Genomic DNA, 24,537 nt, shown 5'->3' with positions numbered 1-24,537 from the left:
AATTCTTAAGGTGGGAGACTGATTTGGAGCATCGTGTGAGGTAAAGTGAGGAGGGAGAATATGAATTTTTGGGATCTTTTTGGTAGAGACATGATCTCTCTGTGTTGCCCAAGCTGGTCTCAAACTGCTGGCCTCAAGCAATTCTCCCCCTTCAGCCTCCCAAAGTGCTGAGATTATAGGCATGAGCAAACGCACCTGAAATAACACAAAATATACACATTGCTCTCTGTCCCCAGTTCCCAGCAGAGTTCCTAAAATCCTTGTAAGGTTGACCCTTGAACAACACAGGTTTGAACTGCAAGGGTCAACTTATACTTGGATAGTTTTCATTAAATATATTAGATTTTTTTTTTGAGATTTGTGACAGTTTGAAAAAACTTACAGTTACAGGTTACAGTGCGCTACGATCATGTCACTGCCCTTGTGTAGCCCAGAAATATCAAAAAAGAACAACAAAAAGTTAGGTATGTCATGAATGCATAAAGTATATGCGAGTACTAGTCTATTTTATAAGTTACTACTATAAAATTACACAAATCTATTATAAAAAGTTAAAATTTATGAAAACATGCAAAAAACACAGATCATACATGGCACCATTTGTAGTTGAGGGAAATGTAAACAAATGTAAAGATGAAGTATTCAATCATAACTACATAAAATTCACTGTAGTAAGCACTGTACTACTGTAATATTTTTGTAGCTACCTCCTGTTGCTATTGCGGTGAGCTCGTGTTGCGAGTGTCTGCTTAAAACACTATGAAATACTGACCATCTCCACGTGAGCAGTAGATTGCATATAGCAATTTACAATTTACTATTGCAATCTCCAGTAAATTGCATATTGCAGTGAAAACCATGATCTCTCTCAGTTCTCATTTATTTTCATGGTTAGTGCAATACTGTAAACCTTGAATAGCATCATGGGACCCATACGAAGTGCCACTAGTGATGCTGGAAGAGCTCCTAAGAAGTAAGGTCATGACCTCACAGGAACAAGTTGAATTGCTCGATATGTACCATAGACTAAGGTCAGCAGCTGAGGTTGCCTGACGTTTCAGACAGATGATACATGTTGTAAACACATGGTGCAGACCTATGGTATCAATAAATACCGTAGAGCACCATAAATATATTTTCTCTTATGATTTTCTTAATAATGTTTTCTTTTCTCTAGCTTACTTTATTGTAAGAATACAGTATATAAAATATATACGATATATCTGTTAATTGACTGTTTATGTTACCCATAAGGATTCCAGTCAACAGTAGGCTTGTAGTTAAGTCTTTGGGGGAGTCAAAAGTTATACACAAATTTTCAACCGTGTGCGAGGCAGGAGTTGGGCAGTTGTCAGCACTCCTAACCCTTGCATTGTTGAAGGGTCAGCTGTGATTTTCTAAGTGATAGAAGTGTCAGGATAATCTTTTGTTCCAATGTTTGGTCTCTGTCCTTATTCCCGAGACAGCACTCCTAATATCCTTGTAGATACAGGTGCTAGGAGAATCTTTTGTTCTAATATCTGGTTTTTGACCCTAGCTCCTGACACAGAGCTCCTAAAGTCCCTGGAACTTCCTGGGTAAAAGGAGGATCTTTTGTTCTATTGAGGCAACTCTTGGTGGGCTTCTGGATGGGGGCTTGTCAGCAGAAAGACCAAGCCATGATTGGAAGCTTGGAGCTTTCAGCCCCATGACCCATTTTCTGGAGAGGAGAAAGGGGCTGGAAATGGACTTGAAAATCAATCATGCCTATGTGATGAAGACTCCATAAAAATCCCTGAGCTACACATCTGTAATCCCAGCTCTTTGGGAGGCCGAGGTGGGGGGATCACCTAACATCAGGAGTTTGAGACCAGCCTGGCCAACACGGTGAAACTCTGTCTCTACCAAAAATACAAAAATTAGTTGGGTGTGGCGGCAAGCGCCTGTAATCCCAGCGACTCAAGAGGCTGAGGCACGAGAATCACTTGTACCCGGGAGGTGGAGGTTGCAGTGAGCCGAGATGGCACCACTGCACTCCAGCCTGGGTGACGGAGTGAGACCCTGTCTCAAAAAAAAAAAAAAAAAATCCCTCAGCTAAGTATGAGGTTCAGAGAACTTCCATGTTGGAGAACACATCTGCTTGCTGGGAGGGTGGTACACTCCAACTCCACAGAGACAGAAGCTGCTGGCCCTCTAGACCTTACCCTATGTATCTCCTCATCTGGTGCTTATCTGTATTCTTTATTACATCTTTTATTAATAAACCAGTAAACATAAATAGAGCATTTCCCTGAGTTTTATGAGCTGCTCTAGCAGATTAATCTCACCCAACGAGGGAGTCGAGGGAGCCCCAATATATAGTCAATGGTTCAAAGCACAGGTCACAACCTGCACTTGAGATTGGCATCTCTAGAGGGGCAGTCTCGCAGGACTGAGCCATCGACCTGTGGGATCTGATGCTATCTCCAGGTAGATAGGATCAAAACTGAACTGAATTAGAGGACACCCAGCTGGTGTCCAAGGGAGAATTGCCTGGTATGTGGGAAATGCTCCACACATCTGGTGTTGGGAGTTCTGTGTGTGAGAATAGGCAAAACACCTTGTTTTTTTCTATTACAGGGTCAGTTGTGGGGAAGCTGCTCCTCCACTCTTAGGCAAGGCAAAGATGTACAAGTTTCCTTGGAGCAAGTGAACCTCCCAGGAGTTGGGTTTTCAGGTATCTTGAAAGAAGCCCACTCAGGAGACTCACCTGCTGGGTAGGAGAGGTCCCCCAGGGAAAGGCTGGTTGGGAGGGGTGAACCACTGGGTACCAGAGGGGGCATGCCACAGAAGACCAGCTAGAGAGTGCACCGTCACATCGAGGAACTCCTTGTGGAGTGCAGAGATCATCATGGGGAGGGGGCTCCTCAAAATCCACCCTAGAGGCCAAGATAGAATGGGTATGTGTGATGGATCACCCACGTCCGGCCCTCTAAGACTTTGCCCCATCCTCTAATCAACTCTTCCCCACCCGAACTTGGACTGAGGGTGGCAGCGAGGGAGAAAAGGAACAGACCTGCCCCTCCTCCTGCCCACTGGGTGGGCACTGAGCTGGGGAGGAAAGTGGCTTTTGTGAGACTGAGTTTTGATTGAGACAAATCTGTACTTTTCATGCTTGAAAATATGACCACAGTTATGACATAGCTCAAAGTGACTGAAAAGCTATGGGACAGCCCCAGCTGTCATCCAAGGGCTGAAAGAGGAGAGCTGACCAGCCAGCACTGAAAAACAGTGATGGGGGAAAAAGAAAAAGAAAGCCAAGTATGTGCCATGAAGTTCTGCCCATTCGGTAAATCAGTTGTTTGTCTTTTTTTTTTTTTTTTTTTGAAACAGTTTCACTGTTGCCCAGGCTGGAGTGCTCCCTGCAGCCTCAACCTCCAGGGCTCAAGTGATCCTCCCACATCAGCCTCTTGAGTAGCTGGGACCACAGGCACATGCCACCACACCTGGCTAATTTTTTATAGAGATGGGATCTCACTATGTTGCCCAGCTGGTGTCAAACTCATGTGCTCAAGTTGATCCTCCCACCTCAGCCTCTCAAAGTGCTGGGATTGCAGATATGAGTCAACACACCTGGCCATATTTTAAATACGTATTTTATTTGTATTTAAAAATATGTATACAAAGGCAAAGCTAGAGACAAATATGTGCAAATGCTTCTGTGATGAACAGACGGTTGACTATCTATCCAACCTCTAATCGCCTTCTATGCTTCCTGCAAGAACCTGAATGTTGTTCAGACAACCACCCAGCTCTGAGGTCACCTGGGCTGGGAGAGGCAGGTTGGCCTAAGCCAGGAGTTCTCGAAAGGGACAGAACCATTCCCTAAGTGTGTTCTGGAAATTGGTGGGGGCTTTGACATTTTGTGGGGAGGGCCCTTGCTATCATCTTTCAATAAACGGGGTCTAGGAAGGCTAAATACCTTACAATGTGTGAGACAGTCCTTTCTAAGAGGAAATGGCTCCATGTCCCACGTGACTTTCTGATGTCTCATGAGACTTTTATGTAGCTGAAAGTCCTTTTTAAGCCTAAAACTTCATTCCATTTGATGTATGAGCTCCAAGTATCTTTTTGCATGTTTTTAAATATGCCCTAAATTTCCTAGGAAGTATCCTACTGTATAAATCAAGGGGAGGTTGCACTGTGTTTTGTTTGAAGCTTTACCAACAGTTGTTCGCCATTTTGGAAAATCATGCCGCCAGTGGCAATGGCCTCGTGCTGGGTGAGTCATCTCCCGCATCTGTCTATATGTATGATGGGGCAACCTTGGCATTTCCGTGTGCAGCTGCAAGCATCTCACCACTTCATTATGTTCTGTAGAGTCTGCTGCCTGAGCCTTTGCTTATTATAAAACATACTCTTTTGTCTTGAATTACTTTTACTTTCTCCTTTACGTGACAGCTAGGGCTTCGTTTTGATTCTTTTTTGAAATATGTTTTTGTAGGTACATTCTGTGATCTGTGAATTTTGTTTCTGGATTGAGGTTGGGTGGTTACAAGAATACAGTCATTGTTTTCAAGAGGGGTAGTTGGTCTGATAACACTGAGGAGGCCTGCTTGCCCTGGGATGTCCAAAGGGGTCCCTTTCCCTTGCCAGAGATGGGCTCAGGCATAGACATGGGAAATAAATATGGCCAGTGGGATATGTGGGCTAAGTCTGCAGGAGGGCTTTGGGGGAAAGATTTTTCTCCTAAAAATAGGAAGGAAGAGGTGGCTTCTTTCCTACCTTGGGGCAGTGTCTTGTTTTGATCATGTGCCTGACTCTTGTAGCAATGAGGTTAGGAAGCCCAAGGACAAAGTCTACAAGCCGAGGGGGCAGAGCAGAAGGGTAGAAGGGAACAGGGCATTGGTCATATTGCTGAGCTGCTAAATAATCAACCATAGTGCCACCCTCATTTGCATTTAATCTACATGTAAATCAGTAGATCTGAGTAATTCAGAGAGGTGGGACTATGGCTGAATGTCAGTCATTTTGTTTTTATTGTTAAAATTTGCCTCTTCCGATAAAATAGACAAAACCAAAATCCTTTCTAAGGAAAAAAGTAATAATGCATGTGACAGAAAATTAAAACATTACAAAATATGTTTATAATGAAGTCAGTCACCTTCTACCAGTTGCCAATCTGTTTCCCAGAGGCAACAAATGTTACCAGTTTCTTGTGAATTCTTCTAGAAACAGTCTATGCACATACATGCATATGGATGTAATACATATATATGTACTCATGTGAGCGCACATACAAATGCTTCATTTTCAAATGTACCATTATATATCGCGGGCTCTTCCTTTCTTTTCTTTTTTTTTCTTGTCAAGGAGTATAGAGTTAGGAAGAAAAATATCTTTGATATTGTTCTACGTAAATAATAATTAGGGGCCGGGTGCACGGTGGCTCACGCCTGTAATCCCAGCACTCTGGGAGGCCGAGGCAGGTGGATCACCTGAAGTCAGGAGTTCGCAACCACCCTGGCCAACCTGATGAAACCCCATGTCTACTAAAAATACAAAAATTAGCCTGATGTGGTGGTGGGAGCCTGTCATCCCAGCTACTTGGAAGGCTGAGGCAGGAGAATCGCTTGAACCCAGGAGGTGGAGGTTGCAGTGAGCTGAGATTGCGCCACTGCACTCCAGCCTGGGTGACAGAGTGAAACTCCATCTTAAAAAAAAATAATAATAATTAGAGAAGTCATCTTCTTGGTATGATAAAGTAGAAAACTCACTGTGTAAATAATTTTTTTCCAACCCATTTTGACCTTTGCTTATTTTCTTATTATAATTTTACTTTCAAAACCCAGATGTGGAATGCCCAAGATGTGTGTGGCCTGGTGCCTGAGCGAGCACCTAAGTTGCCAAACAACATGTATAGTACAATCTCCCTTTCAAAAACGATTGCACCAAATATTAATGTACTTTAAATAATACACACCAAATTATTATTTAAACAATTGTTTTCATTCCTCCTTTTAAATTTTCCTGTTCTTTTTTCTGTTAGAGACAGGACCTCACAGTGTTGCCCAGGCTGGTCTTGACCTCCTGGCCTCAAGTGATCCTCCCACCTTAGCCTCCCTAAGTGCTGGGATTACAGGCCTGAGTCACCACTTCTGGGACAAAAGTTTTTAATGATGATCCCCACTTGTAAGGGGAAGAGGCATTTGGGGGTACGTTTAATGCCATACCCCTTATGTCTTATTTAAATGTTTCTGAAACAAATATGGATTAATTTTATGACATAAGTAATTTTGGGGGATGAAAGACAAGCCATTTGTTTGTTCTTTTCCTAGAGTGCTGAATACTGAGTGACCGGATGTGTGTGAGATCCCCGGTGTAATACAAGCGTGTGTAAGTGTGTGTTGGGGGGAGCTGGGGTGGGGGTAGTTGTTAATTCTAATCCTCCTGTGTGAGTGGCCTCCTTTGCTCCCCCAATGCCCTCTTGTCTCCTCTCTTCTCCTCGGTGCCTTCCTCTCGAGTTCCCTTTCCCCTTTGCAGCCTTTCTCTTCTTACAGATAGTAAGCGACAGAGGTGACAGGTTGGAGGAGGAGGGCGAGTCTTAGCCCATTCAGGGCTCTGCCGCCCACTTCCAGGTCTGCACAAATAGGAACATGGCAGCAAGAGGCACATGCAAATTCCCCGGGGTGCCCTTGCCACCCCTAGCCAGCGCTCAGGGCCACAGAGAAGGTCCTGGCTGCTCTGCCGAGTGCCCCGGCTCCCAGCCTGCAGTCTGTGTACTCCAGAGTCCTTGCTGCCCTGGAGGCTGAGTCCAGAGCCCGGGCTCTGGGCAGCTGCTGCGGAGGGCCCACTTCCCTGGAGCAGGGCAGGAGCAGCGCCGGGCCCAGCCAATGCGAGACCAAAGCCCTCAGGATTTGCTACGTTGAGCATTGAGCTCAGAGCTGACAGATGGAGTCAGATGGGCAAACTAATTATATTTTTCATTTTTTTTCTTGGACATTTGTGAGTCTGCAGGAGCTTAATTTATGTATTAATTACACCTCAGAGCTAAATGAGGGGGCTGGAGTGCCTCCAACAGCCTTTGCATTTTATTAGGAAATGTTGCACACATACTTGCCTTCCTAAGGAAATAGCTACTAAAGCTTCCCTCTGAGGAGCTCTGTGGGCCTTGAGGAAACAGAACTCTTCAGCCGCTCAGGTGGGGGCCCAGGTGGAACACTTCAGGCCAGCCTTCGCTTCAGCCTGTGGGCTGACGTTAGAACCTTCAGATTCATCTTCCTCCCCTCACCTGCGGCAGCAACTCCACTGAAGGGAAGCAGTCCCCTCACTGCACCCGCAAAGCCCCAGCCCCCTCAACTGCTGCGTGGGTTTCCCCTGATCAGCTCTGGCGTGGTTGTGTTGCACTGAGCCGCTGTCTCCAGGCCGAGGCCCAGCAGTGAGGCCGGGGACCTGTTTATAGGGCCTGGGGCTTCCAGAAGGGAGTGACTCCCAGTTGGGTCCCCCATCTGTGAGCCAGACACCTGAGGACAGGCCTCTCTCAGGTAGGTGGAAGGAGAGAGGGTCTGGCTTTCTCTCTTGAGCCTGGACTTGGCGGGGTCTGGTAGTCTTGGTGTGGAACTTGGCCAGTGCCCAGGAGGCTGGGCTGGGTCAGGTGGGGCCTTTGTAAAGGCCAAGAAGTTGGCAGGAGGAAGACCATTCTTGTGTGAGCCAGGCCCTAGAGCCTAGGGCTCCTTAATCTCCCCTTTCTTGTCCTCCAGTTCTTTATGAAATCTTGTCTACAGCTGCTGTGCTGCTGGCCTGTGTTGTGGGGGTGGGAATATGGAGAAAGTATCTGCTGTCTACTCTTTGGCCAGTTTTCCTGAGGGAAGCAGCACCCAAGGCCTCAGGCTGGGCGTTGCTGCTATCACGGTGATTGCCAGAGGAAAGGATGGAGGGAAGGCCTTGGGGCGGAGCAGCACCCTCCCCGCTCTGAGCAGGCCTGAGAGTCCATGTCTAAAGGAAGCACTTCTTTAAAAGGGCTCAGGAAAGGCCCCAAGGCTCTCTAGTGCCTACGGGCTGGCAGACAGCTGCCTGGCAACAGCAGGTATCTAACTGGTGTGCTGGCCATGGGCTGATGGTGGACCTGCCTTCTGCACCTGTTTGGGGGGTCACTATAGGGCAGGCCTGCTTTACACAGCAGGTGAAGACTGGTCAACATTGTCACGCTGAGAAGTGACTCTCAGTGGTGAGTTCAGGGGAATGTTGATATTTGTGAGTGCTTTAGGAAGAGGAAGGAACATGGGCACATCCACTGAATGTGATCTTTCTGGGGGCAGGTATTTTTGCCTGCTTTGTTCACTTTATTCTTTCTTTCTGTTTTTTTTTTCTTTTTTCTTTTTTCTTTTTGACTTGGAGTTTTGCTCTTATTGCCCAGGCTGGAGTATACTGACGAGACCTCGGTTCACTGCAACCTCTGCCTCCCGGATTCAAGCGATTCTCCTGCCTTAGCCTCCCGAGTAGCTGGGATTACAGGCACCTGCCACCATGCCCAGCACATTTTTGTATTTTTAGCAGAGACGGGGTTTCACCATGTTGGCCAGGCTGGTCTCGAACTCCTGACCTCAGGTGATCTGCCCACCTCAGCCTCTTAAAGTGCTGGGATTACAGGCGTGAGCCACCGTACCCGGCCTGTTCACTTTATTCCAAGAACCTAGAAAAACACCAGGCACACAGCAGGTGGCCGTAATGTGCCAGCAGGAGGTAGTCTGAGGAAAGTTGACTATAGCTGCTCCCAAATCATTTTTGCGGCAAAGCTGACAGACAGGTGGCCGATGAGTCTCAGGGGTGTCTTAGCATATTTTGTGATGCTGTAACAGAGTACTGCAGGCTGAGTCATTTATGAAAAAATAACAGTTCATTTGTCTCGTGGTTCTGGAGGTTGGGAACTCCACCACTGGAGGGCCATGTCTGGTGGGGCCTTACATGGGGGAAAGGGAGAGAAGGAATGGGGCCACATTCAATTTTATAACCAACCCACTCTCATGATAATGAGCCCGCTCCTGCGATGAGGACAAATCCATTCGTGAGGGCAGAGCCCTCGTGACCCACGTACCTCTTAAAGGTCCCCCTTCTCAACACTGTTGCATTGGAGGCCTTTGGGGGATGCCTTCAAACCATAGCAGAGACACTTTTCTGCCTGCCCAAAGTCACATAGCTCATTAGAGGCCAGGTTGGGCCTGGAGTCTCTGGCAGGAATAATAGCTGAACTTTCATTCATTCCCTAACCCACCTGTGTTGTGAGGGCCCTGAGGCCAGCATGTTCATGGCTGCAGCCTCCAACCAACTGAGCTAATTGACAAGAAATCTGCTCTGCCTGATGCTATGGGGGATACTCAGATTTTCTGTGCCCCTAAGATGACCCAAAGCGTGGACATGCTTATTAGTGGGATTCTATCCCCTCAGTGAAGTTTTTGGTTCTTGCTTTTAATAATGGAGCAAGAGAAGCCAGTGGGAAGTCTGTTGACAAGGGAATGACTGCCACGTAGGCACTGGCAGGCTTTGGGTGAGGAGCTCAGCTTCCTGGTGTGGCCTGTGGCAAGCTCACCCTGGGAGGGGCTTGGAGTCTTGTGGATTTCATTCCTGACATTCCATCTGCTGTGCCTGCTACCAGCTGCCCTGCCAACCTGTCTGTGCCAGAAGAGTGTGGAAATAAGCTAGAACCCTTACACAGGGAGGTCCTGTTGTAGTCACTTAGTTATCAGCCCTCCCTCTATCTACTCGACTATAGGCCAAAAGCCCAGCCAGATGCTACCATGGGACCAGGCAGGGCCTAATGTTGCTGGATTCATCCTGGAATCAGTATCTGATCAGTCTTCACCTGGGGCAGGAGAAGGAGCCAGCTGTTGCCCTCTCTGCAAGAGGCAAGAAGCAGCGGGTCCTGACACCCTTCCCCGGAGGGCCCTTGGCTTGCAGGCACCTGGCATCTCCCAACATCTCTCTGGAGCCTCAGGCCAGCCTTCCCAAGATGGGATGCAAGGAGTCTGAGTGATCTTCCCGGAGAGGTGGCCAGCATGTTTGACAGAGCACTCCGGATCGAGGCTGTCCACATGCATTTGTCTCGTCCTTTTGCATTCAGCCAGGCCTGAGACAAGACTAACCCTTCCTGACAGAATCAGTTCAGCCTTGTCCTCTGAGCAGGGCCCAGGGTGGGCAGGGGATAGGCTGGGGCCAGCTGGGCTCTCTGGCCATTGCTGGCTGGTGGAGGACACACGGGGAGCCCTGATAGGCCCAGCAGACAGGGTCCAGCCCAGTGGACAGAGCAGGAGAGGGAGTTAGGGGGTCGGGGCAGAGAGTGGATGAAGCCTCTGCAGCATCTCCCAACCCCAGAGCCAAAGTAGGGAGGGGATCAGGCAGAGGGCCTGGTTTATTTTCTTCCATCTCCATCTCCATCCCTATCCCTATTCTGAGGCCCAATTTTCTCAGTTTTCCCAAAACTGAGGCCCACAGTTTTGGGAATCAGACTAGCCTGAGTTTGAATCCTGGGCACATGGAGCAGAGGGAAGGGGTCACGTGGCCTGCAGAGAGCCACGTAAGTATGGTAGTCTCCATTGTAAGTCTGCCCTGCCCACCCCAAATAGGCCTGCCCTTGGGCAGAATGCTCTCCCCTCTGCATTTGAATGATGCCCTGAAGTGTCCTGCTGCCAGTGCCTGGAAGGCCACCATCTATAGCCCACTGCCCATTTAGGCTTTGCCCTCCCCAGCCAATGAAGGAATTGGGCATTTGCAATGCTTATGAAAGCTCAGGGAGGGACCCCAGACTGGAGTGGCACTTGGGGTTGACGGGGAGTGTGAGCGTAGGTCTGGAGTGGGAGTAGGGGGTGGTTTCCTGCTGCCAGAGAGGAGAAGGCTGTCCAGGAAAGGGTGGCAGACTTGTGTCTCTGCCAGCCCCTCCCCGTGTCTCACTACTGGATTGGGGAAAGGGGCCTAAAGGGCCAAGGAAGTACTCACCACTGGGTCTCTGAGGATGCCACAGGCAGGGCCAGGCAGCTGAGATGGGAACAGAGTGCCTGTCAGGAGCCAGGGCCAGCTGTTTCCCCTGCCCCCGCCCCCCCCACCAACATCGTCACAGGGGCCAAATTGACTGGGGAGCTGGGTGAGGGCTGAAGCTCAGGGGAGATCTGGGGGTGTGCAGAGAGCCTGGAGCACTTCTGAGGGCTTACAAAAAAGCGGGTGGAATCCACCCTACTCCTGGAAGGGTCAGAAAACAGAGGAGATGTATATTCCTGGCCTGAAGTATTATAAATATACTATTCCCTTCACCACCACCCACAAAATAGCAAGCAGTTTTTGAATACTTGCCATGGGCAGGCACGAGTGTACACGCATGTGTGGTCTTGTGTGATCCAGCCTGTGAGCAAGCAGAATGGGAATGAGAGCAAGTGCAAGTAGTGCATTTGGGAGGGGAGGTCAGGAGACGCTGGGAGGGGCATGTCACAGGTGAGCAACGCATGTCACAGAGTGTCCCTCTCGAAGGACCAGAGCGCTGGAATATTTATGCATCAGCTCCCATGGCCACTGGTGAATGGATGCTCCAGCGAGTCAGTGATTCCAGGGCTCTTCCAGCCTCGGGTGCAAAGAGGCAAAATGCAGAGTGGGTTCTGGCAGCCAGCCCTTTCTGCACCTTGGGCACAGAGGTGCAGACCCTGGCAGTTTGAAGGGTGGCCCCTGTGCACCGAGACAATGTGGGCGCACAATGTGTGCCGCAGTAGTGTGAGTCCCATTGACCAGGTGAGAAAACTGAGGCTCACAGGGGGCTCTTGCCCAAGGTCCCCCAGCTGGTGGTAGCCATGCTGGGATCTGCTGCTGAAGCCCATGCACTTTTTACTCTGACCCCAGCACATTCTGTCTCTTTCTAAGATGGAGCGTTCCTAGGGCCAGGGACCGTACCTCCTCCCCCACCTGAGCCAGCATGTGTCAGGTAGGACATTGGTGCCCAGTAAGTGGCAAATAGAAAGATTATTTTTGGCCTCTAATATCAGATTGCAGACAGATAGGCCTCATTAGTGGCATTGAAGTGGGCCTGGAAGAAAAAGTGAGAATCAGATTCTGTTTTAAATGTATCAGAAGTTCGCTGTTAAAGGGCTGGGACTGCTACTTCTTTTTTTTTTTTTTTTTTTGAGACGGAGTCTTGCTCTGTCACCCAGGCTGGAGTGCAGCAGTGCGATCTCAGCTCACTGCAACCTCCACCTCCCAGGTTCAAGTGATTCTCCTGCCTCAGCCTCCCGAGTAGCTGGGATTACAGGAGCATGCCACCATGCTCGGCTAATTTTTGTATTTTTAGTAGACGCGGGGTTTCACCATGTTGGCCAGGCTGGTCTCGAACTCCTGACCTCAGGTGATCCTCCCGCCTCGGCCTCCCAAAGTGCTGCGATTACAGGTATGGGCCACTGCGCCCAGCCTGCTACTTCTTTTTTAAAATGAGCAGTGTCTTCTATCTGTGTTATAGGCTGAATTGTGTCCTATCCTCCAAATTCGTATGTTTAAGTCCTCACTCCCAGTACCTCAGAATGTGACTAATTTGGAGATGGAGACTTTAAAGAGATAATTAAGGTAAAATGAAGTCCTATGGGTGGCCGGTAATCCTCTGTGACTGGTGTCCTTATAAGAAGAGGTGATTAGGACACAGACACACACACACAGGGACAACCATGTGAAGACACAGGGAGAAGAGGGGTGGCTACAAGGAGAGAGGCCTCAGGAGAAACAACCCTGCCAGCCACTGCCTTGATCTCAGACTTCCAGCCTCCAGAGCTGTGAGAGAATAAATGTCTGTTGTTTAAGCCACTCAGTCTGTGGCATTTGTTAAAACAGTCCTAACAAACTAATGCAATCTGCTATACCAACCCAGGTGGACATATGGTGTTTGAGCTTGAAGGTCATTTCTCCCACCCCCTTGTTTTACAGGGGAGCAACAGACCCAGAGAAGGGACCTAAGGTACTCAGTGCATGGAGAATTAGGGCCAGCATGGGAACCAAGCTTTTTATAACCTGGGCGCGCTTAAAGCCAGGGGCACCTGCACCACCGTCTTTTAGCCAGCACCTCCTGACCCCCATCAGTGCCCTCGGCTCGTACCCCGAGGAGGAGACTCGGGACCAGGCTCGGTTTTCTAGACTATTAGCTGGAGAAGTATAGCTGCAAGAAGTTGCTCAAGACACTGTCCTTCCAGACCCGGAGGATGTTGGGTTAGGGGAGGAACTGAAGGAGAGGGTGGTTCAGGCTTATCACACAGACTGACTGACTCTCTTCCAGACCTCAGTCTTATCCGTCAAATGGAGACCACGATATCTATGATCCCAGCTACAGTGGCAATGTTCCCTCCCTGCCAGCCGGCTGTGAGGATGACTTATGATGGCTGTGGAAGACTTGCTTCTGAATATACAGACTCTTGTGGAATGCAGCAAAAAGCCTGTGAAGGCTCCAAATAGAACTGGGTTCGAATACCACTTATGCTACTTGGCTACTGTATGACCTTGGGGAAGTTGCTTAACCTCTCTGAGCTTCAGTTTCCCCATCTGTAAAACAGGACTAATCACTTAAATCTGGAATGGTTGTTATGAGGATTACATCAGAAAACTCAGGCGACATGGCTGGTGTCTCCAAACGGCTGCATACATGCCTCGAAACCTCCTCACCTACTCCCCTTGGCACTTTCAAACTGCTATGATTTTGTAGAAAGGTGTGGAATTTAATCTCTGATCCGCTCCCCTCTGGGAGGTGATCTGCAGGGGCGAGGCTCCTCATGCCGACAATGGGCCTGTGCTTGGTGTGGGTGGTGGTTCCCTGTCCATTCCCTCTGGTCCTGGAGCCCTTCTGTTACTGGTGCACTGGGATCCTTTCTGCCTGAAGGCCTCTTTATGAGTCACGTAAACGGGGACCTGGCAGGGGTTCTTTAGAACAAATATTTCCACTTTCTTTAGAGGATCTGACTCTCCAGTTTCCCAATTAATGAGAGCTCAGGTTGACCCTGGATTTGACAAAAGCTCGCTCCCACTTTCAGGTTTGCCGACAGACTTTCGTGCTCTTCCTCATCCCCACTTTATTTCTACCAACCAGAAAAATTACCCCTCCTCCCTCTGCCGTTCTAGATTTTACCAGCCTGGGCGTTCAAGAGCCCCTATCCTTAATACCCCCATGCGTTGGCATGTGGTTTTCTGAGGCCCAGAAATCCCTTCCTTTCTTTATCCTCTGGTTCATAAAACTCCGATCAGACGGCCTCTTTCTCCGGGAACCCTTCTCTGGTCTTTCCAGACACAACGAACCCGGCCGGCTGCTGTGGCCTACGCTAGAGGCATCTGGGCAAGAAAGGATTAACGGTAATAACTGCCCACGGCCACCAGGGGGCATGCTACCCGGGACGGCTCAAGGGCTGTGCAACGTGGGGCTTTTGTCTAGTTGGAACCCCAAGCACAAAGTGACATTGCAGTGGTGTACCTGGAGCCCTGGACCATGGGGCAGCAGTCAGAAGTCAGTAGGCACTGTCCTAGGCAGACAGACAGGAATGCAGCCCCACCAGCCTCTGCAGTCTTTCACAGAGCACCCGTAGAGACCCAGGGCCTCCCGCTTCCCTGAGGAGGGGCTGAAGCAGCAATGCAGCCGGTCAGGAGCTTGTCTAGATTTTTCAGCAGAGAGGGAGGTTTCAAGCACATCTTGCTTCTTCACAGAGTCCCCAGCCCAGGGGGCTTTGATAGGGTAAAGCCTACCTGCAATTAGAATCACGATTCTGGCCCAGAGTGGGCTAGAGCAGCCCAGCGGACCCCTCCCCAAGTCCCCTCCCAAGGATGCTCCTGGCTCTCCAGGCGATAACCACACCTAATTTGTACTTTTTATTATTTATTTTTTTAGTTTTTTGAGATGGAGTCTCGCTCTGTGTCCAGGCTGGAGTGCAATGGCGTGATCTCGGCTCACTGCAAATTCCGCCTCCCGGGTTCAAGTGATTCTCCTGCCTCAGCTTCCCGAGTAGCTGGGATTACAGCCACGCGCCACCACGTCTGGCTAATTTTTGTATTTTTAGTAGAGACTGGGTTTCACCTGTTGGCCAGGCTGGTCACGAACTCCTGACCTCAAGTGATGCCTGCTTCGGCCTCCCAAAGTGCTGGGATTACAGATGTGAGCCACCGCGCCCGGCCCACCAGATGTGTACTTCTGAGGGGCCTTTGTCCCCTTACTTGTCTGCTACCTCCACCAGGTGGGAGCCCTTCAAGAGCACTGGCCACGTCTTGTTCACCCTGGCATCCCTAGTGAGGCCTGGCCCAAGTGAGTGACCTGTAAATGGCACGCCAAGGCCCTTCAGGCTCACTGGGTTTCCTGTGGACACGGCATTCTCTATGTGTGCCTGTACCCATGTGCTCCTGGCACACTGGAGGGGCTCACGTGTCCCACATAAGAGAGGTGAGTGGGGGCAGGGCCTGGCCAAGGAGCTGGATGAGAGGTGGGGCAGGCCTCATTGAGCACTTGGGAAATTAATTGAGGGGTCCACATTGAGCTCCCCACTCTCTCCTTCCCCTCCTCTTCATGAAACTCTTCAGGACCTCGCTGTCTTGTCCTTGGGTGACATGAGGGCCGGTCTTAGGTGTCGACTTGGCTAGGCTACAATCCCCAGTTATTCCATCAACACTAATCTAGGAGTTGCTGTGGAGGTATCTCGTAGATGTGTATCTTAGTCCATTTTCTGTTGCTATAACTGAATACCAGAGACTGGGCAATTTATAAAGAAAAGAAATTTATTTCTTAGAGTTCTGAAGATTGAGATGTCCAAGGTTGAGGGGGTCCATCTGATGAAGGCTTTCTTGCTAATGGTCAGTGCAGGGCATCGTATGGGGAGGGGCTCACAAGAGAGAGCCAAGCTGGATTTTTGTAACAGACTCACTCTTGTGATAGCTAATCTACTCCCATGATAACCCATTAATCTATTAACCCATTAATCCATGAATGCCCACATGACCCAACTACCTCTGAAAGGCCCTGTCACCTGCCAATACTATTAAATTAGGGATTAAGTTTCAGATTGAGTTTTGGAGGAGACATTCAAGCCACAGCAATGTAGTTGATATCTACAATTGGTTGGGGTTTTTTGTTGTTGTTGTTTTAGAGACAGGGTCTCACTCTGTTTTCTGGGCTGGAGTATAAGTGGCTTGATCATAGCTGACTGCAGCCTTGAACTTTTGGGCTCAAGTGATCCTCCCCGCTTGGCCTCCAGAGTAGCTAGGAGTATAGCCTTGAACTTTTGGGCTCAAGTGATCCTCCCGGCTTGGCCTCCAGAGTAGCTAGGAGTATAGGAGTGTGCCACCACACCGGGCTAATTTTTTTATGTTTTGTAGAGATGAGGCTCTTGCTCTGTTGTCCAGTCCTGTCTCAAACTCCTGGCCTCAAGCAATCTTCCTGCCAAAATACTGGGATTATAGGCGTGAGCCACTGCACTGGGCCGGTTAACCTTAAATAAAGGAGATAGCCCTCAATAATCTGAGTGGGCATGAGTCAATCAGTTGAAAGGCCTTAGGAGCAGAGCTGAGGCTTTCTTGAGAAGAAATCCCACCTGTGGCCTGCAGCATCAGCCTGAGAGTTCTGGACTGCCCCTCCTGAGAGCCTGCGCTATGGATCCAGCCCCCACGGTCACGTAAGCCGATTTCTTGCAACACATCTCTCTCTTTTTTTTTTTTGAGATGGAGTTTTGCTCTTGTTGCCCAGACTGGAGTGCAATGGCACCATCTCAGCTCACTGCAACCTCCGCCTCCCAAGTTCAAGTGATTCTCCTGCCTCAGCCTCCCGAGTAGCTGGGATTACAGATGCCTGCCACCACGCCTGGCTAATTTTGTATTTTTAGTAGGGACGGGGTTTCTCCACGTTGGTCAGGCTGGTCTCGAACTCCTGAACTCAGGTGATAGGCCCGCTTTGGCCTCCCAAAGTGCTGTAATCCCAAAGTGTAATCCCAAAGGGATTACAGGCATGGGCCACCAGGCCTGGCCGCAACACAACTCTTAATATATGTCTCCTATTGGTTCTGTTTCTCTGGTGGAATCTTCTCAGATGCAGGCAGGCTGGGGAAGCTCCCTGTACCTGGGAAAGGCAGGAGGAATCAAGACGGTGCATCAATGCCCATGCTGGGGCCCTCACTGTATGGCACACAGAGTGCTAAGACTTTTGTCACATTTAACCCCCCAAGCATCATATGTCACAGGTTTATTATCCCCATTTTATAGTTGAGGCAACTGAGGCACAATGAAGTTATGTGGCCAAGGTCATACAGCATGCTGCAGGCCTGGATCATAAACTCCTGGTTCCAGGGCACAGCGTTTTAACCTTTTTCATGCCAATGACCTGTTTCATCTTGGTGAAGCCATGGACCCCTCCTCTGAATGATTCTTTCATATGCATTAAGTAAAATAAAGGTTACAAAGGAAACTATTTCTAAAAAGTAATCATCAAAATATCCTAAAACATAAACTTATAATACAGTAATCTATGTACTTTTTAACTAAAGCATCCCATTAACCGGACTATTGGGGTCTACATGTCACACAACTCTATGTCATGTATCTGTGATTATTGTACTGGGCTATGAAAACTCTATGATTCTCAGGAACAGAAAACTAAACACCACATGTTCTCACTCATAAGTGGGAGTTGAACAATGAGAACACATGGACACAGGGAGGGGAACATCACACACCGGGGCCTGTTTGGGGGTGGGGAGCGAGGGGAAGGAGAGCATTAGGACAAATACCTAATGCGTGCGGGGCTTAAAACCTAGATAACGGGTTGATGGGTGCAGCAAACCACCATGGCACAAGTATACCTATGTAACAAACCTGCACATTCTGCACATGTATCCCAGAACTTAAAGTAAAATAAAATAAAATAAAATAAAATAAAACTTTGTGATTCTTCTTGGTGGCAAAGTCACACTTATTGTCAATTCTATGTGTGGTTCCTTGCTTACCTTCCTGATGTTAGTGATAAGAGTGTATTTCTTCTTCATCCAAGTTAACAGACCCCCTGAATGATCTCTGATCTAGGGCAGACTTCACCACCCTTCTGTGGCACCTGCTATGTGCCAGGGGCTTCACTCCTGTCCATGAGCTTGTTCCATCGTCAGCCCTAAAAAGCAGATGCCACAGAGGGGTGGTGCCTCCTCCCTTCAGGACGCAGAGGGGCATGAGGGGCGAGGGTCCCTGGAAGACACAGTCCGTTGGGGAAACTCCCACGCCAAGCTCAGCGCCCCCCTCCCCGCCCAGCTCTGATGGCCGGCCTGCCCTTGCTCCTGCACTGGTGGCCCCCAGGTCTGGACCCACTTGCATTCCCCCCACGTCCCTAGTGTCACGCCGCAGCCCAGCCCTGCGGCTCCCTCACTGCTCCTCTCAGGGACAGAGGCCGTGGCTGCCTTGTGTTTCCTGCAGAATCTTCCCGTGTTTGTGTCAACCCGGGGCTGAGCTCAGCCAGCTGGCTCACCCTCCTGCATGTAGAGTGGCTTTGCCGACTGGCAGCCTGAGGATGAGGCAGAGGTCTCTGGTGCAGAGTGAGAAGGGGCAAGGGTGACAGCCAGGCTGCCTCAGGGCTTTGCTCGCCCACCTCCCCGCCCACCCCCCCAGTGCCTGCCATCAGTACTGGAGGTGGGAGTAGGGGCTGTGGGGGCCTTCAAGTGCAGCAGCTGGAGAGGCACCCCCACATCTTCCTCCTTCCCCCCCAAAACAACCAGGCCAGCCATGATGAAAATAAATCTCCCAGCGTGACAGCCTGATTTGGGCCTCAGCCTCACCCCCTCCTCATCTTCATGTTGCTTCTCCCACTGTGAGAAGAAAGGGATGAGGAAACAAAATGTTTCAGTGCTCATTGTGTGACAGGCACTTTAAAAAATAAATACATTTTTAGAGACGAGGTCGCGCTAAGTTGCCCAGGCTGGAGTGCAGTGGCTATTCACAGGCACGATCCCATGACTGATCTGCAAGGGAGTTTTGACCTGTTCTATTTTCAACCTTGGCTGGTTCACCCCTCCCTGAGGCAACCTGGCGATCCCCTGCTTCCAGGAGGTTACTGTATTGATGCTGAACATTGTATGGGCCCCCAATGGGCACTCCGGGTGCACTACAGCCCAGAACTCCTGGGTGCAAATGATGTCACCGCAGCTTTCTGAGTAGCTGAGGTGCACGCCACTGCGCCCGGCTTGTGCCAGGCACTTTGAATACATGATCTTGTGTACTCCTCATCAGCACCTGGGAGTTGTTACTATCACACCAATTAGACAGGTGAGGAAGCTCAGGCTCAGAGAGGGCATCACCCAACAATAAGAGGCCAGAATCTGAACCGAGCTCTGGTGCCAAGATCCAGTCTCTTTCCACTTCGTGCACTGCCTTCCTCTGGTCGGCTTTTACAAATCCCTGGCTCTCAGCTCCCAGGCTGCACAGAGCATCTTCTATCATTTAGAAAGCCTGTATCGGTTCAGACTGAGGTGTTAGTCGCTGGATAAGTTGCTCTTCCCTGGGATATTTGCGTTTTAAGAGGGCTTCAGGGAGATAGCTGCACTCAACTCTCAGAGAATGGCTCTGTTGCATGGCACATGGGCTGAATGCAATTGTTTGAGGTTTCAGAAGATGAGAAAGGTGTGTGAGGCCTGGGTTAAGGCAGCATGGAGCTGAGAGCTTGGTGTGTGGGCAGGTGGGCAGAGGAAGCTGCAATGACTAATGCCACTTGAAGTGCTGCTTTGCCTAAACTGCCCCTACTGGTCCCACCCTCCTGGTGAGTGAACTACTCTGGCCCCTGGGGGAATCCTCCTTTCCTGAGAGTGCCCCCGAACCCACAGCCTAGAACTATGACTCCGTGTTAACTTTCATTGTAAGGAGTGGGAGGAGAGAGCAGTGGAGGCGCCTCCACTCAGGACTTGGGGATTGGCTGAGTGGCTGGGGGGCTGGAGCCGACTAAGACCTCTTCGGTCCACCGCCCAGGAGAAAGACAGGGTCTCCCTTCCTTCTCTGCCTCCAGAGCCTGTCCAGGGAGATGTTTCTCTCCTTCTCCTCCTCCTCCTCCTCCTCCTCCTTCTTCTTCTTCTTCTTCCTCCCCTTCCTCTTCCTCTTCTTCTTTGGAATTAAATGTGGAACAGGGAGATTCTCATTCCGTATCTCCCCCAACCCCAACTCTCCAAGTTAAGGAAGGCTTGAGTGGTTACACCCATCTGGCAGAGGGGGAAACTGAGGTTTGGAGAGGGGAAGGGACTGTAGAACCACAATAGGGCCTGGGCTTGCAGGAGGGAGGACAGTGGAAACACACTTCCTTCTGTGATGTTAAATCTTTGCCCCCATTTTGAGAAATGCAAGCTTCTAAAGGATTTCCTCTTCTCAAATCATGTCCCAGAAAGCATTACTGTGGGGGCCTTTGGGAGACAATGCCTCAACCCAGAATTTCTGAGAATGAGTATCACAAATATTAGTGTCCCTGTGAATAATACAACATAACAGTTTTCTAGGGTTTTCTACATGCCAGGCTCCCTTCTGAGAGCTCTCCATGCATCGACTCATTTAACTTCCATGACAGCCCTATGAGAAAGGTGCTACCTTCATTCCCATTTCACAGACGAGGAAACAGTGCACAGAGAGTGTAAGACACTTGATCAAGGCAACACAGCTAGTCAGTGCCAGAGCTAAGTGTGCAACTCAAGCTAGAATATTCTAGAACCCAAGCTCTACTAGTAAATAAAATCTGGCCAAATATATCAGGGAAAAATAACACAATGACTGTTGGTGTGGTAAAGGTTCTGAAAAGTTCATCAAACAAAAAAAATGTATTTTTTTTTTTGAGACAAGGTCTTCTGTCACCCAAGCTGCAATGCGGTGGTCCAATCTTGGCTCAAAACAGCCTTCGTCTCCCAGGCTCAGGTGATTCTCCCACCTCAGCCTCCCGTGTAGTTGTGACTACAGGCACACACTACCATGCATTGCTAATTAATTTTTTTTTTTTTTTGTAGAGAGAAGGTCTTTACAAAAGTTTTTTGACACAGTTTTTGAAACCAATTTTACCCAGGGATGCTTTTTTTTTTCTTTCACTGATGGAAAAATTCTTTGAGAATTGCTGCCTTGTCCCCAAAGTGACTCCAGTGAAGCCCAGACCCTTTGGTAGAGTGGTGGGGGCTGGAGGATTTTTCTGGTTCCCAGTGACCCCAAAATTCCACCCACTGCCTGGCTGCCTTCTACAGAGTTGCAGGCCCTCCCTAAATGAATCTTACAGGATCATGTGTTCCTTCCAAATACTTTACAAAACATGAACATGCAGGATACAATCAGTTGGGAGGAAGCCCTTTTGATGTTGTCAAAGCTGCATTTTTAGCCTCGTGCTTGAATTCTCTCTCTTCTGCCTGTTGGAGAGGGCTGGTGGTTGCCTCATTACAGCTGTGTTTCATGGGAAGTGTGTGTGTGTGTGTGTGTGTGTGTGTGTGTGTGTGTGTGTGTGTCAGAGTGGGTATATAGAGCAAGTAGCTGAGAGGCAGGAAATAGGGAGTCCGAAAGGCAAGAACTGTTCCTCTCAGCCACCCAGCCTCCGGCCCAGGCAGGGAGGAAGTCTCTTGTGTAGGCATGAGCAGGGAGGGGAGGGCATATATGGAGTGTCTGAGATCTCCACACAGAGCTATGGCCGCACATCAAAGCCTGGAACATAAGCTAATTCCTGGATTTCTGAAACCTGATTCCTTCCTGCCAAGGGAAGTCCGGCAGCCACAGCCATTAGCACCACGGACAGCGGCAGGCCTGCAGGTGCGCCCCGGGAAAGGCCTGGACTTCAGCTGCTCAAGGAGCAGGCAGGCATTGGTGGGACTGAGTTTTGATAGATCAATGGGATATTTTTGCACTGCACTGGGGCTTAGCTGGACTCACTGTCTTTTACTTCTCCCGTATCCCACCTAATGAATACAAGGTCACAGAGGGTGGTGACAAGGTGAGGACAATGGTATATCCATGCCCTCCAGGGGTGTGCAGAAGAGACAATTGAGGCTCAGCAACACTGTGGCACTGGACTGCTTGAATCCCCTGCCGTACCTGTGTCTTCAGTGCCCAGCACATGGCAACTTCCCAGTTAATGTTGGTGCATTGGGAAGGTGAGCTCTACTCCGTGGCTAAGTTCTACATCTGCATGGACTAAGGGCTGAGTCTCCTCTAGGGGAAGTCCATATGGTCTCAATGAACTTCTCTGAATCACAAGCTTGCTTCCCCCAGCAATCCATAGCTTTATTAACATGACTGCCAAGAAGAAACAAATAGCCACACCCCTCTAGTGACCCCTGGGGCTGTTGGTGGCTTGCTGTGCCACCCAGGGAAAAACAGCCTATGCTGGGCTCTCCTGTCTTATTCTATTCCATCCCACAAATGCATGTTGAGTGCCATCTCAGACCCGCCCTGTAGTGATGAGGAGACCAAATGACAGAATCTTTGCCTAAAGAACCTGCAGATTCATAGAGAGAAAAGCCGCTCAGGGGAGATAGGATGTGGCAAGGGCCATCTGAGGATTGCCACTTGTCACGTGTGTCACCCCAGCTCTGGGACATAGGTGGTTTGGGGAGGAAAGGTCCATGTTGGCAGATATTATCATGAAGGCAGAGAAGGAAGTTGGTAAAGTAACCCCCACAGGCTTCTCAGCTAGTGAGGGATAGAGTGTTTCTGCTTTCTGCTGGATCTCGTATCTTGCACATAGTAGGCACTGGATAAATAGTTCCTGCATGGATGAATAATTAAACTGCACCACCCAGATACAGGACAGAAAAAAGCTGGCAGGGGAAGGGTGGCTTGAATGATTGGTTCTTTGGCTGGCCTAGTGTGGGAATAAGCCGAGCTCAGTGCAGGAGGACCTGCTTAAATCATCCTCATTTTGGGTTTCTGAGAGCTGTCTCTCTCTCTCTCTCTCTCTCTTTTTTTTTTTTGCAGGGGACTTGGGCTCTGGAGAAAGCAAGCCCAGACACTGCAACAAGCTCACAGCTCCATGAAGATCCAGCCAGGGCCAGCCCCTTAGAGGTGAGATAATTAGGGCCCCAGTAGCAGTCTCTGAGAGGGCCAAGTGAGGGCTTTCTGGGGCTGGCTGACCCTCTTGACTCAAACGTGTTGCTGCTGCTTCTGGGTTAATGGGCCTGGTGGGTGCTTTCTCACTGGTCACTGAGCAGGGCTGTCTGATGTCTTCAGGGGCTAAGACTGGAGCATTCTTTCTCCACCCCCTTTAGCTGTGAGCATCTCAGGAGCTAGGGCTGAAAATGGAAACAGGCCTGTGGGTCACTGTGGCCCAACCTCTCAGAACAGCAGGAGCCTGTGCACTCCACCTCGCCCCCGTTCTGCCCTACACTGTAGGGCACTAGTTCCTGCCTGAAAGGACTGGAAGAGCCTATGGCTCCTATGCGCCACTAGCTCTAGCTGAGTGCCCAGCAGAGGTAGAAAATATGATTTTCCTTCTCTTTCTTTCAGAGCAATCACTCACTAGACACATGAGGAAGACTAAGGGGCTGGAGGTGGGGTATGCAAAGAGAGGTACAGGGCCAGGCTTACTACAGTGTCTCCAAAAAGGCCAAAGATAGTGCATAAACAAAATGGAGCTGGAAGACAGAGTAATCAATACTTGCAGAAGCAGGGTCCTGGGAGAATGCTTGATGGGAAAAGTGGCACATGTAACATACTGTCCACACCAGCCCTGCACAAACCCTTGGCTCTGTACAGACCAGCCTCTTTGCTGTGCCCCAGACACCAGTTGGGCAGCTCCACTGCACTATCCACCCAGACCTCTCACAGGTTCAAGTCTCACTTGTCCTTGAAGGTCCTGCTCTGTCTCTTCATCCTGGGATAGACTTCAAGTGCCTTGTGTGGCCACAGTGACTTGCATTTGGCAACCTCTTCCTGCCTGTACTCCTTGTCTATACCACCTAAATACAGATGGCTGCTTAGGTGCTTTCTGTTTGTTAGTCTTGTTCCTCCATCCAAGCTGCAAGCTCTTTAGCAAGAACATCATATTCATGCCTCCCACCCTACCCACCCCAGCACAGAATTCTGCATATGGTAGGTGCACATGCTATATGGAGGATGAATGAGCAGATAAATGAATAAATAAGGAAAGAAAGCAGAGAAGAAGAAAAAGAGGGAGAGAAGGAGGGAGGGAATGAGAGAGGGAGGGAGGGAAGAAGAAAGGAAGGAGGGAAGGAAAGGAGAAAAGAGGGAAGGAAGGAAGGGAGAAAATAGAGAAGGAAGAAAGGAAGGAAAGAAGGAAGACTTCTCTGTTTTTTGCAAAGGCTAACAGGAACCTGCATGGCCAATCAATTTCCTTCTTTGCCCTCCTTTCCTAATTTTCCAGCATAAAGAGTATCTTTTAAATTTTTTCACTTTTTGAGCAAACTATGACATGAGATCATATATGTAAAATTTTCAGGCACTATAAAATAATCAATAATTTAAAAATATTTATTTGACACTTGCCATGTCCTCATGACAGTTCCTGCCCTTTGGAGGCTTACCGTCTGGCTGGGAGAGATCAGCAATATATGCAAGAAGCCTTCAGCCAGACTGACCTGGCATCTGGGAGCTCCAGAT

At 49.3% G+C, this 24,537-nt stretch overlaps 1 long non-coding RNA gene and 1 pseudogene across 1 annotated transcript in view; one reads left to right on the top strand and one right to left on the bottom strand.

Annotated features, from left to right (window-relative positions):
- LOC107985941 (uncharacterized) overlaps positions 1 to 17,878 on the top strand; it is a 35,549-nt gene extending 17,671 nt beyond the window's left edge. The window contains exon 3 of the long non-coding RNA XR_001739665.2: positions 13,250 to 17,878. This is a non-coding gene — a long non-coding RNA (uncharacterized LOC107985941). The remainder of the gene's footprint in view (positions 1 to 13,249) is intronic.
- On the bottom strand, positions 18,864 to 19,157 carry RN7SL468P (RNA, 7SL, cytoplasmic 468, pseudogene; annotated as a pseudogene).

Source organism: Homo sapiens, chromosome 2 (assembly GCF_000001405.40).
Source record: "Homo sapiens chromosome 2, GRCh38.p14 Primary Assembly".
Classification (NCBI taxonomy): Eukaryota; Metazoa; Chordata; class Mammalia; order Primates; family Hominidae; genus Homo; species Homo sapiens.
Note: the sequence above shows the minus strand (reverse complement) of the source record. Positions and strands in the feature narration are given on the sequence as shown.